General features: G+C 36.5%; 2 annotated features.

Annotated features, from left to right (window-relative positions):
* Positions 11,875–12,169: an enhancer, noted in NCBI's record as "tiled region #4557; K562 Activating DNase matched - State 5:Enh". NCBI's record gives its function as "activates a minimal TATA promoter and a strong SV40 promoter by Sharpr-MPRA in K562 cells {active_cell/tissue: K562}" and the evidence as "EXISTENCE:reporter gene assay evidence [ECO:0000049][PMID:27701403]".
* Positions 13,613–14,320: an enhancer, noted in NCBI's record as "NANOG hESC enhancer chr4:187731547-187732254 (GRCh37/hg19 assembly coordinates)". NCBI's record gives its function as "activates a minimal SCP1, AML or CMV promoter by ChIP-STARR-seq in naive H9 embryonic stem cells {active_cell/tissue: H9 hESC(naive)}" and the evidence as "EXISTENCE:reporter gene assay evidence [ECO:0000049][PMID:30033119]".

Raw genomic sequence — 14,765 nt, forward strand, 5'->3', positions numbered from 1 at the left:
AAATCAAAAGTTGATTTACTATGGAAATTGAACTAATGTAGCTAAGATTTATGGTTTTCACCCTCGCAATTCCACATATTTTCCCTTCTTTGGCTTATGGCTCCTTTCTGTCTCCACACACTTCATGATTCTTGTGTTGTGGGTTCCTGTACAAGGTTAAAATTGATTTTTTCAGAACTTCCAATACGAATTTATAAAAGATATAACTCCAAAGGTGGCGTTTCCAGCTGAAGTGCTTAGCTTATATCTGTTAATTTAATATCACGAACTCTTTTCTTGAGCACAATAATTTACTTCTTAACAGAGGATGTGTGAAGGACAAAAAGAGTGCTAAGTTAAATGGTACCATTGCTGCCGTTATGTTCTTGAGACATTCATACTATATATGGAATGTCATAGCCACTATTGTTAACTCCAAAGTGCACTGATGTGAGGGAAGATCTCTTAACATTTATACTATGGTGGTTGTCCAAAATGTAAGCTTTATTGACTAAGTTATGTGTCTACAACTTACTAACAATACAGCGTATGATTTTCTCTTGTTTTTAGTGTTACTGTGGCCGCATCATTTGTGGCTGTTCAAGGTGTGTTCATTGTCCTCAACTTGGTATCTTGAAAGGCTCCACACAGATTGTACTACATAGGTTCTCTCCGAATCCTGTGCATTGCCAAATACTGGCTCACGAGGGAGAAAAGCTTTCAAAATCTAGATTAGCGCAAGAGGTGTCTTATTTATATATTCAAAATGTTTTTCAACTTATTTTTTTTCTTTTGGCTGATTTCTCTTTTCTCTTTTCTTTCCTTTTCTTTTTTTTCTTTTTTTTTTTTTTTTTTTTGAGAGACAGGGACTCACTGTGTCACCCAGGCTGGAGTGCAGTGGCGCGATCTCAGCTCACTGCAACCTCCACCTCCCGGGTTCAAGTGATTCTCGTTCCTCAGCCTCTTGAGCAGCTGGGACTACAGGCACCTGCCACTACCTTTGGCTAGTATTTGTATTTTTAGTAGAGAGGAGGTTTCACCATGTTGGCCAAACTGGTGTTGAACTTCTGGCCTCAAGTGATCCACCCACCTCAGCCTCCCAAAATGCTGGGATTACAGGCGTGAGCCACCACGCCCGGCCAGCATATTGCTTTCTATATAGGGTAACAATTGTTGCTGTTGTTATAATTACCTAACATGGCTTGGAGATTAAGGTGATTTTGGATTTCAATTCCAAAAATATATTTCTAAATTATTATGCAGTATTGTTAAGGAATATTCATAATCAGGCTTTAAATAAATCACTGTCAGCCTCTATTACTTCAGTGCGCATATCTGCTTTTAGTCACTTGCAGGTCAACTTGGTATTGCCAGTGCCTAGGACCTGGCGCGTCCTAGGACCTGGCATGATAGGTGCTGCTAGAATGCCAACTGGGAAGACTTGGGTTCACCTGAGAGCAAGATTATGGATGGTCTGGAATCAAGTATTATGCAGCACCAGCAGTTTTCTTCTTGAATATATCTTAGAAAGGACATTTTGAAAGTCTTTCTTGGGAACTCTATAAAGAAAGCTACAGCATTAGTAAGCCCCACATATCTTAGTTCCGGTTTTATTATCTGCCGAGAAACTGAACAACATGTTAAAATAAACACTATCATACCATCAGGAGTTTAGAACTTTAAGGCAGGAGTGAGGATCTCATTAGACCCAGTGAGTTGGTTTCCCTATAGCTATTCTTGTACCAGTGAGGAGCCATTGTAAGTAAACCAATTCCTAGTTTCAGGAAATGTTTGTTCCAGAGTAAGATAGTCTTTGCTCAGTTTTTGCTCAACGAAGTTTTCCTTGAATCTTTTTCTCTTCTCTCCCTTCCTTCAGTAGCTCCTAACCACTTAATGAGTTGAAGACTTCAGTCTGTCTTGAAATAAGGAAAGTTAGGATAATACTGTGGAATTTAAGTTTTTTTTTCAAGTTGAAAGATTGTTCTTTATTCTGGTATTGTACTGTTTTCACTATTTTATGGCTAGAACATCCTTTTCTAAAAAAAAGATCATTGCTAAAATGATTTTTTTCTTTTCAAAATGTTCTTACCTGACCACAAGCTTTAAAGTTTGGCAACTGTACATTAATCCCCAAATTTATATTTAAATTCTTATTGGTCTATGAAATTCAAAGTCTGGCAACCATAGCTATAGACAAAACCTATAACTGTCGTCATATTTACTTCCAGATTTCCTTGGGAGAGGACATACTTGGCAACAGACACTAGAAATATTTTCAAGGATATGACGGATGATTTTTCACAGCAGATTGGTGCTAAGTCACCACCTCTCAAGTTTTCACTTAACTGTTATCTTGTATCCAGCATTTACCCCTCCACATGCTAATACATCACGGCTTTAGTACTTTCACATTTACTCTGAAGATAGTTACCCCTTGGGTCAAACTCCAAGGAAAGAGGCTATCAGATTTGTTTTATCTTGTGGTTCTCATGTCAATGTGTGCTTTACAAATGCTTTTGCTTGAGCCTGAATATGACTCAAAACTTAAAATAAGTTTTGAACACCTTCTTTCAATTTTTAAGTGATTAACTGAATAAAACCAAGTTGAAGAATTTCACCACAAAGTTTACTTCCGAGTTGTGGTTTATGTTGAATTAGGGATTTTTTTTCTCTTTGGTTTTCAGTAGAAGATTACTTGGTAAATCTAACTATCTGCAGAAAGAGGTGGGGATTTTCCATCTCAGACACTCCATTGTGATGGTGTTAGATCTTTTCTCCACCTAGCTGTTCAGTGCAATGCACAATGAAACAATAACATGCATAATTTTGCCAAATGCTAGTGTTGGAAGAGGACTCTTTTTGGTATGTACAAATGAGAATGAATTTATGAAGTCTGAGTAAACAATGTTATTTCCAAGTATAAAATGTTATTCCTAACTATAACAGGCAGAAGGGAGTTATCTAATCTCAATTTTCACATAGATATTAAAAGCACTAACAGATTATTTTGTTTATACATCACTGTGCCTTATACATAGAAGGCACAAAATAATATCTTTGAATGACTGAATGAATTCTGTTTCTATCAATCTCATTTACCAATGAAAACCCTATACAGAGTTGTATTATTTAAAATGATACATTATTTTCTGTCATTTCTGTATTTTCTATACATATAATTTGCCATATGCTTAAAAGTCCATAGAGAAACAAATAAAACATGATATGTTATCCATATTTCAAACAATTTTGAAGTTACTTTATTGTCAGAGTTAAATAATATTAGTTTGATATTCATCTTAATATTTTTTCTGTAATTAACATTTAAAAGGCAGCTGTATGAATAGTACATTTTGAAGTAAACTTATAATAATACGATGTAGTCCTGGATTCAAGCAAAATTTTCTCTTTCAATTTTCTTTTCTATCCACAGTTTAGGACAGAAATGTCCTTAGGGTCAGTGTCTGGAGTTACCACAAATCAAAAAGCAACATATTGAGTTAATTCTTAAAATCAGAGGTAGAATATCATTCTGGAGTTATAGAATTAAAGAAGATCTGAGCTCTAATTCTGCTCTTTCTTCATAAAATAAGGCAGTCGAGACTGGGTGCAGTGGCTCACGCCTGTAATCCCAGCACTTTGGGAGGCCGAGGTGGGCGGATTACCTGAGGTCAGGAGTTTGAGACCAGCCTGGACAACATGACAAAACCCCATCTCTATTAAAAATACAAAAATTAGCCAGGCTTGGTGGCAGGCATCTATAATTCCAGCTACTCAGGTGGCTGAGGCAGTAGAATCACTTGAACCCAGGAGGCGGAGGTTGCAGTGAGCCAAGATCGCACCACTGCACCCCAGCCTGAGCGACAGAGCGAGACCCTGTTTCGAAAAATAAATAAATAAGGTTGTTGGACTATCATATCTTTAGCATTTCTTCAGTTTCATGTTCTCAGCTATAAGAAAGGCGTTTTTGAACATTAGATAAAAGGATAGTAAAAAGGAGTGAAATGTTCATTCAAAAATATGAACATCATTTAACAGCTTTTGGACAACTTGTTGGATGAAGTATTTTGCATCTCACTAAAAAGTTTCACACCTCCTTCCTGAAACCTTCTCTATTCCTCTGCTAATTTGCAGAAAAATTTGCTTACTTTTTTTTTTTTGAGACGGAGTCTCACTCTGTCACCCAGGCTTGAGTGCAGTGGCGTGATCTTGGCTCACTGCAACCTCCACCTCCAGGATTCAAGCGATTCTCCTGCCTCTGCCTCCTGAGTAGCTGGGACTACAGGCGCCCACCACCACACCCAGCTATTTTTTTTTCTATTTTTAGTAGAGATGGGGTTTCACTGTGTTAGCCAGGATGGTCTCGATCTCCTGACCTTGTGATCCTCCCGCCTCGGCCTCCCAAAGTGCTGGGATTACAGGGGTGAGCCTGGCCTGCTTCCATTTTTTATGGGACCTATAGGGCTTTATCCTTTATACTTTGAGTGCAGTGGCCTGTGCATATTAGTTATCTTCTCTCCCAAAGCACAAGTACTTTGCCACACCTTGTTCAGTTTTGTATCCTACGACAGTGCCTGACATAGTATCTTACACAGAATGCCAAATAGTTTTATTAAATAATTGATCAGACCATTACAGAAGGTATTTGCCAGGGATTTACTAAACTATAACATTGAATTATTCAGTTATTCATTCAATAAACACTTGTTGAAGGTTTGCTGTGTACCCCACACTAGACTGGGGCTAGAGGTATCAAGGTAAATACCGTTGTGGAATTAAGGAACTCCTGAAATAGTAGGCTGACATCTAACCAATGATTTTCCATATAACGTGATACATCAGCAGCATAGGATATGATAGTGTGTGGATCACAGTAAAGATTTTCTAGACAAGAGGATGTAGTTTCTGAGCTAGGTATTAAGGCATTAGCATGTGTTTATAAGGCAAAGCCTCTCTGCAGAGGTAAGAACCAGCAAGGCATGCTGGGAGTGGGGGTGGTGGGAGAGAGGCTAGAAGCAGCCAGGAGGGTCCAGAGGGAAGTTGGTGAGGGCAGAGACTGAATGACTACGGGCAGAGGTACAATTGTAATTTGTTGGAAACAAGTGCTCGGTGTAGCCAAAAGAAATCCTCACTTTGACAGAAAATTCCTCCTCAGCAAGGCACCTTTACTTCTGCAGAAGGGTGTTGCCTGCACCTGTTACAATTGCAAGAGCACACCGAACAAAGGAAGGAAGGGATTTTTAACCCTAACACAGTTCCTGTTTCTGTGTCCTTCCCCTATTGGCTGGGGTTGGACAGCACAATCTAAGCTGATCCCAATTGACTTAAGTTTAAATTTTCCCAATAGGGTAAACTTGGGTTTTAAAGGGGGGTGGGGGGAAGACAAAGAAGAAACGGTTAGGCTTAACAGGAGAGGGGGTAGGATTGTTTACAACTTAGGACCAGGAAGTTGAGTCTTTGAAGAGGAACTCTGTTGTCCCAACAGAGTGATGGAAGCCAATGACAGGTTTTAAACAGGAAGAGTATCACCCCTCCAGCAGCGCCATGGATGATGGTTTAGGGTTGAGAGATTCCAGAGGTGGGAAGACCTACTTGGGCAGACGCTTCAAAAGTTCAGGCTAGAGCTAAGGGAGATCTGGGCCCCCGTGGATGTTGGAGGTGACCAAAGGAAGCAGATGGTCACTCACCTGCTTGTTGTCCTGACACAGAAGACTGTAGCTTTACATTTGTATTAACTTGGATGGATTCTTTCTAGAAAAACATTTAGACCTTAAACCATGAAAATTATGGCCAAGAGGATTAATAGAGAAGTCCAAAAGTTATGTTCACAAGAGGGAAAAAAATGGGAAAAAGAAGGCATGATAACTATATCCTTGTTAATTAAGTTTTGGAGCATGGTAAAAAGCCTTCCTTACTGTTTTGCATATGTCAAATCTGTCATAATACATTTTTTCTGAAATAATGAAAATATCTTTCTCTTTAGTTGACTTTATTGGACACGAGCTGAATTATCAATGTCAACATTTTTGTTCTTGGTGTGTGTGTTTGTTCATGACAGATTCATTTCACCTTGTGACTATAAGAAAGAACATTCGCAGAAAACTTTCTCAGGGGAGGCAGGGTGAGCTTGCATAGTAGGTAAGTTTTAACAAGCAGCCTACAAGAGGAGTGGGGATAATAGTTTATTAGATTTGAAAATAGAATGCAAGTGTATGAAGTGGAGCACAGAGTTGTGTGTGTTCTCTGTGGTGGTTTCGGCATAAACCCCGGGCAGAGACACTCTTCCCTTCCCGGGGAAGAAATGGAGAAGAAAGACGTGGAGCTTGGTCCACTGGAACTCAAGCGAACCTGCCCTTCACACAGAAGACCCAGAGAAAGTGTTATTTGAATAAAATTTATGTAGGATTGTGTAAAGGATTTTAAGTTTTAAAGACAAAATACAAAGTCATACTGGAAGTGAACAAATAACCATCGATCCTACACTTCTCAAACTTTATTAAATGAAACTGCTTAGTTTTCTAAAAAAAAAATCTATTGATTACTGCTAATCAGACTGAATTTTTTTCTTTAAGCTAATACTGGAATTCTATATTTAAATAAATTACTTATAGCTATTACTTTTATTACCAATAATTGGCAAAAATAATAATAAAGAAACATATCCCATATATATATTAACTCTTTATTATGGAAATTTAAGATATATACAAAAGTGGATACAGCATAATAAACCTTAAAGTGCCCATCCTCCAGTGTCAACATTTATTATTTCATTACAATCTAGTTTCATTTTACCCCCCCTTACTCCTTCCCTTATTATTTTTTATTTTAGTATTTAAATTATTATTATTTTGAAGTAAATCCTAAGCATCCATTATCATTTCATCCTCAAAATTTTAGCTGTGTCCCTAAAGATGAAAATTCTTAAAAAAAAAAAAAAACTCAACACAACCACAACAATATCTTTATGCTAACAACAATACTTTTATGGCATTTAAAGATTAACAATAATTTTTTCATTGTATACCTAGCCAAGCCTCACATTTCTAATTCTCTTAAACGTCATGAATATATTTTTGTTTGTTTGAGTCTAGACCCAAATAAGGTATACACACTGTAAGTGCCTGCTTTCTTCGTCTTTATTAATCTATAGATTCTACTTTACTTCCCTTTTTCCCCTTGAAATTTACTTGGTTAGGAAACTGGATGGTTACCCTGTAAAGTTTCCACCAATCTGGAGACAGGGAGTTGCAGTCCCATCAAGCCATTTACCTTGTTCCTTTGCCGTCTGTATTTTCTGAAAATTGTATATAGGGATAAGATCAAATCCAAGTTCATTTTTTTTTGGCAAGATTTCTTCCTAGGTGAACGTGTGTTCTTTAATTAGGAAACCTAATTAAACACAACCTCTGGTGTGCTGTCTTGCTATAGAGTTAATGCGGTTGCTGCACAATGCTTAGATCTTCTTGTACATATTATGATTTTAAAGGTTTTGATGTAAAAACTATTCAAGTGGATAATCTCAACAACCAAAATTTGTTCAGAAGGAATAGGTGTTACCTGAGATTAAAAACAACAAAAACACTTTTTAAAAAACCGTGAACGCAAATAATTCCTAATGACCACATCAAAGGCTCATATCATTTATCCAGATAATATGCCAAGAATCTGCAAGCACCTTGACAAGGAAACTTCTTTATGTGTAATATAAATCACGAATTGCTACCTTATTTAAAAACTGGATGATGATAACAGCTCTGTGACTCCATAAATTTGAGTTTCTAATATTATGCAGAAGAACATAAAACCTGTTTATGCATTATAATGCAGCAATAATGTATCTTCGCAATCATTGGCATAACTAAATCCACTAACTTGCCTGTAGCATGCATAATGACAAGTTTGCAAAATGCTCAGAATTTTAAATTTTGATTCACCTGCAGTTCAAATCCCTGCAGCAATTAAAGAAAAAACACACATATCAAAGCAACAAATACTTCTAACGGAGCAAGATACCGTTTTCAGGGAGAGTGTTTTCATGTGCCCTTTGAGGCTCTAGCAAAACCAGAGTCAAATAGGTAGATATACCTTCATTAATCATTTTGATCAGGACTTGTTTTGATATAAAGAAGATGTGGAGGTAAAACATTTTGATCAGGACTTATATTAAAATATAATCCACATCTTCTTTAAAATAAAGACTCACAGAAATTCAACAAAACACATGTTTAGTTTAAGCTGCCCAATGGGTTTTTTTCCATGCTTTTGGCTACTTTTGTGGATGCAAAATATGAAGTGAAGAAATGAGACATTTATCAGAATCAGGAATTGGCAAACTTTCTGTAAAAGTCTAGAAAGTAAACATTTGAAGAGGCAATTTGGTCTGTCAAAGCTACTCAACTGTGCTATTGTATCAGGACGGCAGCCTTAGACAATATGCAAATGAATGAGCAAGGATGTGTTCCAATAAAACTTTATTAAAACAGACAGTGGGCCAGTTGCAGCCTGTGAGTCACAGTTTGCCGACCCCCAATCCGGTTAATTTAAGACAAATCTTATCGTCTGTTGGAGAAAGTATTTTTTTTTCTCTAAATAATTGAGGTTGGCAGCCCCTATTAGTTAAGTTCAACTGAAGGTAGCTTAATTCTCCACTTGATTTGGTATGTGTAGACACAGGTTTTGTTATATTTTTAAAGCAAGACCTTTGAGAAGGCCAACCACCTGCCTTAGTTTATTAGAATTAATGAGGGATAAGAATGTATTGTCCTATGTAAAACAGAAGAAATCTTCCAGAAGAGGCTTAGTACTTGCAGGGAGCCTCGTACATTTTCACTTGGTTTTATAAAGGAGCCACTTCAAAGTTGGAGACACCAGAGAAAAGAGAGTAAGAAGAAAAGAATTTGTCAAGGCTAGAAATCAATCATTAACTGTGACATTAAACATGAACTTTGTATTCTTGTCGCTTCAAACAACAACAACAGCAAAATCTCACAATGCATTTGAAGTTGACAACTCACTCTGAAGAAGTTGTATAAATTTTTCCATTGTCTGAAATTAAAAATAAATGTCAATATATCTTACACTTGTTTACAATGAACTTTTCTTATAACACTGGTTATTCAGTTGTATAAAATAATTATGTCTTACAAAGATAATTCCACAATCTCAAGGATTTAAAAATACATTTTAAGATATAACATTTAGGCTGGCCTGATCCCAGCACTTTGGGAGGCCGAGGCGGATGGATCACCTGAGGTCAGGAGTTTGAGACCAGCCTAGCCAACATGGTGAAACCCTGTCCCTACTAAAAATATAAAAATTAGCCAGGTGTGGTGGCGTGTGCCTGTAAATCCAGCTACTCAGGAGGCTGAGACAGGAGAATCGCTTGAACCTGGGAGGCAGAGATTGCAGTGAGCCAAGATCCCACCACTGCACTCCAGCCTGGGTGAAAGAGTAAAACTCTGTCTTAAAAAAAACAAAAAAAAAATGTAAACCCAAATGAATGTGTTCCAAAAGGGAAAAATACTATTTGTTTCAGCCTCGTATTTAAAAAATTATGTATCTAAAATTTGTATTAAATTTTTCAAGGTTAGTTTTTGTCATTCCATGAATCAGGCAGAATCTAAATCAAGGCCACTTTTTATTGCATTTTTAAGTTTGTAGGGAAATATAATCCAAACTCAGTAGTGGATGTACTAGGATAATACATTGTAAGTTGTGATCAGTTGTGACTAATTGAAACTGAGAGATTTATATGGAACTGCACTTATTAGGGCAAAGCTATTGTTTTCTTTGCCAGGTAGCAAAAATATGTTTTTTAAGCTTACACTTGTTTCCAAAGGACATTTTCTGGAAAGTTGTCCACATTGTTTTTCTAATGTTGCAAAGACAGTTTGCAAACATTCAACAAATTACCTAACTCTTGCAGTTTGCATTTTCCCCATTTCTATGAAGTATCAAGTGTTGAAAATTCCTCTACAGTCCATAGGCATTTTGTTCTGGCTCCAAAGAAAATTATACTTTTGAAACATAAGGAAAGATTTTACAATGTGTATCTTTTCTTTCAAATGAGGCTTGACTTTTAAGCTTGACGTTTGAAAACTTGAAGATGGACGACATTGATAAATGATACTTTCATATACAGAAGGAAGAAAAGGAATTGGAGAACAAGCTTATAACTGCAGTTTGTAAAATCTGCTAATAAGCCTGCTAATGGGAGACAGATTAAGGAATGTATTTTGCCACAGACTTATCCCTATAGCAGCTACAGCAAAGAACTATGATTTGGGCTTTCAGTTCCTAAGCTACAGTTTTTGTAATGGAAAAAACAAGCGACACAGGTTACTGAGTGATGGACAACGGTGTGTTTGTTAATTGTGTTTACGTATTCACAGAGATGTTCTTTACACTACTTCAGCACAAAACTGCATTTGGATGTAAAACAGCATTTTCATTTAATGATGAAACTGTAAATACGTAACATGGCCCCAGCACTTTCTCTTGCTTGTGTGCTTGTGATCTCATCACAGCCATGCTTGTTTTGAGGGAATTTCTGGCTGCCTTTGCTCATTTGTACGGTCTTAGATCTGATGACCTTTACATTTATGACCTAGTAAATTATCTTCCTCAGCTTTGGAACAAAAAGAGATGGGCCAGTAGTTTTAATCACAAAGGAACCTGGCAATGACCCTGCTAATAGAATACAGATTCTACAATACGTGCTGCAGCTAGTCACCCTTACATTTACTTACATGTTGTTTTACCTTAAAATATTACCGACCTAAGAAATATGACTTTTAAAGCAGTGTAATGAAAAACAGCTCATATACACATTAAGTCTGAGAATATTCTCATGCATCTTTTTTTGTGGAAGCATGTCTATTAATATTTTTAATTAAAGATACAGTGCAGCTTTTTCAAATGCATTAAGTGTTTTATGAAAAAACAAGCACGTGGTAGTATTTATGGGAAAGCTACCACTCATGTTTTTTCGGAATGAATGTTTTAGTAGAATATGTATATGACTGTCTAAATATATGTGTATACATACACACACATATGTATATATAAATAATCTTTGAAAATTGCTGAAGTGTGTGAGCATTTCAGGTTTAACTATATTGTTCACCTGAAATAAGTGAATACATGTAAGTGCTGACCCCGTAAAGAGTTAGATATCCCTGATAGGAGGAATTTCTGACATAGTGTCAACAAGTTCTTGCAGATCCAGATCAAGCCAGCTGCAACTGGGGTAACAGAATCCTTTCACGGTGTTACGAATGGATGATTTTCAGTTAGAGGCTATTAGTTGAGGATTACAGTGCCAGGCAAAATGATGAAGTTCAAGTACTTTGGAGAAAAATTCATCTCTGTGTTGCCATTTACCTTCTAGACATTCTGAAACAAATTTGGCCATGAGCTAGAATTTCCTGTAAAATTTTAACAGTTTTAAAGGAGTGTCTTACTGCACAACAAGGAATGCCTTGGCATGAGAAAACATTTTTGGAAAAGGAAGAATCATGGGAGATTTTTATCAAATAATGAAGAACTAGAAGGGAGGCGGGACATTGTGGTTTGAAAAAATGGCTGGCTTTGGTAGATTAAAACCTCTGATGTTGCCTTTGGAAAGTTGTTCCAGATGAAATTTTTCCACAGAATACTTAGGTAATAAGTCAATTCTCTGGGTAATTAGGCTGTGTCTACATACTTACATATACAGTCAGGCATCACCTAACAGCAGAGATACGTTCTGAGAAATGCAGCACCAAGCAATTTTGCCGTTGTGTGGACAGCATAGAGTGCACTTATACAGACCTAGACGGCACAGCCTCCTCCACACCTGGGCCATATGGTACAGCCTGTTGCTCCTAGACTATACACCTGCACAGCAGGTGACTCTACACTCTAGGCAATTGTAATACAACGGTTTGTATTTGTATATCTAAACGTAGAAAAGATACCGTAAAAATACAGTATAAAAGAAAAAGTTGTACATCTGTATGGGGAGCTTACCACGAGTGGAGCTTGCAGGACTGGAAGTGGCTCTGGGTGAGTCAGTGCGTGGGTGGTGTGTGGAGGTGAAGGCCTCAGACATGACTACGCACCACTGTGGACTTTATGAATGCTGTACACTTAGGCTGCACTAAATTATAAAACAGTTTCTTTCTTCAATAATAAATTAACCTTAGTTTACTGCAGCTTGTTAAACTTGATATACTTTTATTTTTAAAAAACCTTTTGATAACACTTAAAACGCTTTTAAGAACACTTAGCTTAAAACACAAATATACTGTACAGCTGTACAAAAGTATTTTTTCTTTATATCCTTATTTGATAAGCTTTTGACTGTTTAAAATTTTCTATTTTTATTTTTACTTTTTAAATTATTTGTTTAAAAACTAAGACACAAACACACACATTAGCCTAGGCCTGCATGGGGTCAGGATCATGAATATCACTGCCTTCCACCTCCAGATCTTGTCCCACTGGGAGGGCTTCAGGGGCGATAACACGCATGGAGCTGTCAGCTCCCATGACAACAGTGCCTTCTTGGATACCTCCTGAAGGGCCTGCCTGAGGTTGTTTCACAGTTAAGTTTTTTTGGTAAATCCATAAGCCAGTGACATAGTCATTTATTATTATTATCTAGTGTTATGTACTATATAATAATTGTATGGGCTAGAATTTTATACAACTGGGAACACAGTAGGTTTGTTGACACCAACATCACCACAAATACATGAATAATGCTTTGCCTCACGTCACTAGGCAATAGGAAGTTTTCAGCTCTATTATAATCTTATGAGACCATCATCATATATGTGGTCCATCTTGACTGAAAGTCCTTATGTGGCATACGACTATATTTAGTTTGGGAATTTTTGTAGGATTTAACAGATATATTTATTTATTTATTTTTAAAAACTATTGAATTTCATTTTAAAAGTGCACATATTCTAAATGTATACAGCTTGATGAATTTTACAATTTTCACTGTAGTATCCAGTCCCTACATCAAGAAACATAATATATTACCAGCATCTGAGGATCTCTGCTTGTATTTCTTTTCTCCTCATCCCTGTAGTAGCCACTATCTTTATTTCTAAATTATAGATTAATTTTGACTTTGTTACCTTATATGAATTGATTTACAGAAAATGTATTATTTGGTATCTGGATTCTTTCTCTTGACATTACGTTTATTAGATCCATCTGTGTTACTATGAGTAGCTTTCTATTGTTAAGTTTCATTGCTGTATGTATTTTATTGTGTGAATATATCACAATTTTTCTATTCATTCTTCTATTTCTTGGGTAGTTTTTAGTTTTAATGATTATGAGTAGTGCTACTACAGATATTAGTGTACATGTTTTTTGGTGAATATATCTATGCACTTCTGTTGTGTACATCTCTACCTTTAAAAATATATATATCATAGTTATTATAAAAGTATTTGCCAACTCCAATATTGAAATAATCTGTGGGGCTGCATCAATTGTCTTATTTTTTCTTCTTGATTATCGATCATATTTTCTTGGTTCTCATATGCCTAGTAATTTTTGATTTTATGCTGCATATTGTGAAGAAAATAATTACAGAAGTTCCAGATGACTTTATCTTCTGCCGTTGTGCAGGCAGATAGAAATAGAGTAAGAGGATTATAAATTCAATTCAATCACAGATTGAATTGGGTTGGGACTGGGTTGCAGTGTTAGTAAAATTCAGTCTATATCTTACTTGCTGCTCTTCTTCAAATATGGTCCTCATGGTATTTTGAGTGGAATTTGTTAGTTGTTCTTCTTTTTAGTCCAAAAAGACTGCAAGAGATCCAGATCTGTACTTTGAAAGTTCCCAGCCCAGCTCTCAGGCCACCTTTTCCATGAAACTTCAAGAAATGGCAAAAATCTCAAGAGAGACTAATCATGCCCTTGAGGCAGTTCTCTCCCCTGGCATGAGTGTTTCTTAAACACTATGAAACTGCAGGAGATCCATTCTGCTTCTGAGGACAATAGGCTTAGCTTTACAGCCTCCTGCGCAACCTCAACATTCAACGAACGTCCCAGGAGGTAAAACAGTAGTGTGTTTCTGGCTCCTCCCTTCCAGTTTTCCAATTTGTCCTCTGGCTCTATACAACTGCTAAATGCTTTGGTGGCTTTTCTTTTCCAAGATAATGATCTCTGATTGGGCCATACCCTATACTAAGCCTGAGGCTAGAATCAGCAAATACCCTTAGGGAACAAAAATGACTATCAGCAGATCTCCTCACAACAGTTCTTCATCTCTGGAATTTTAGTTGCTTTACTCTTTGTTGTTTCCATAGCTCTCTGACATCTTTATAAAAATATTATTTAAAAAATTTGTTTTCTGCTTTTGCAGCAGAAGCATTGGCCTCTCATAACCTACCACATCCTCTCAGAAGTGAAGACCAAGTAAATTAAGTGTTAATGATATGTTGCATTATATAATCCTTTATATTTTAGAAAGTAAATATGACATCTCAATTTGTATTCTCACAGCAATTCTATGAACTAAGCAAGATGTGAATCAATCCTTCTTGTTTATAAATTAGGAAACTAGGGTCCAAGTAATTAAATCTTGTATGAAAGGTCAATCTGCCAAGAGGTAGAGGAAGGCCTTGTGTCATCCAATTTTCTAACGTCCAGTTGGTTATTTGCTGCATACCACACTGCAATTTTTTTCAGCTTCTTAATTAACAAATAAAGATTCTATACATTTGTTGTGTACCACATCTACTTTTAACAAATAAATATAGACATAGTAAAAA

Source organism: Homo sapiens, chromosome 4 (assembly GCF_000001405.40).
Source record: "Homo sapiens chromosome 4, GRCh38.p14 Primary Assembly".
Classification (NCBI taxonomy): domain Eukaryota; kingdom Metazoa; phylum Chordata; class Mammalia; order Primates; family Hominidae; genus Homo; species Homo sapiens.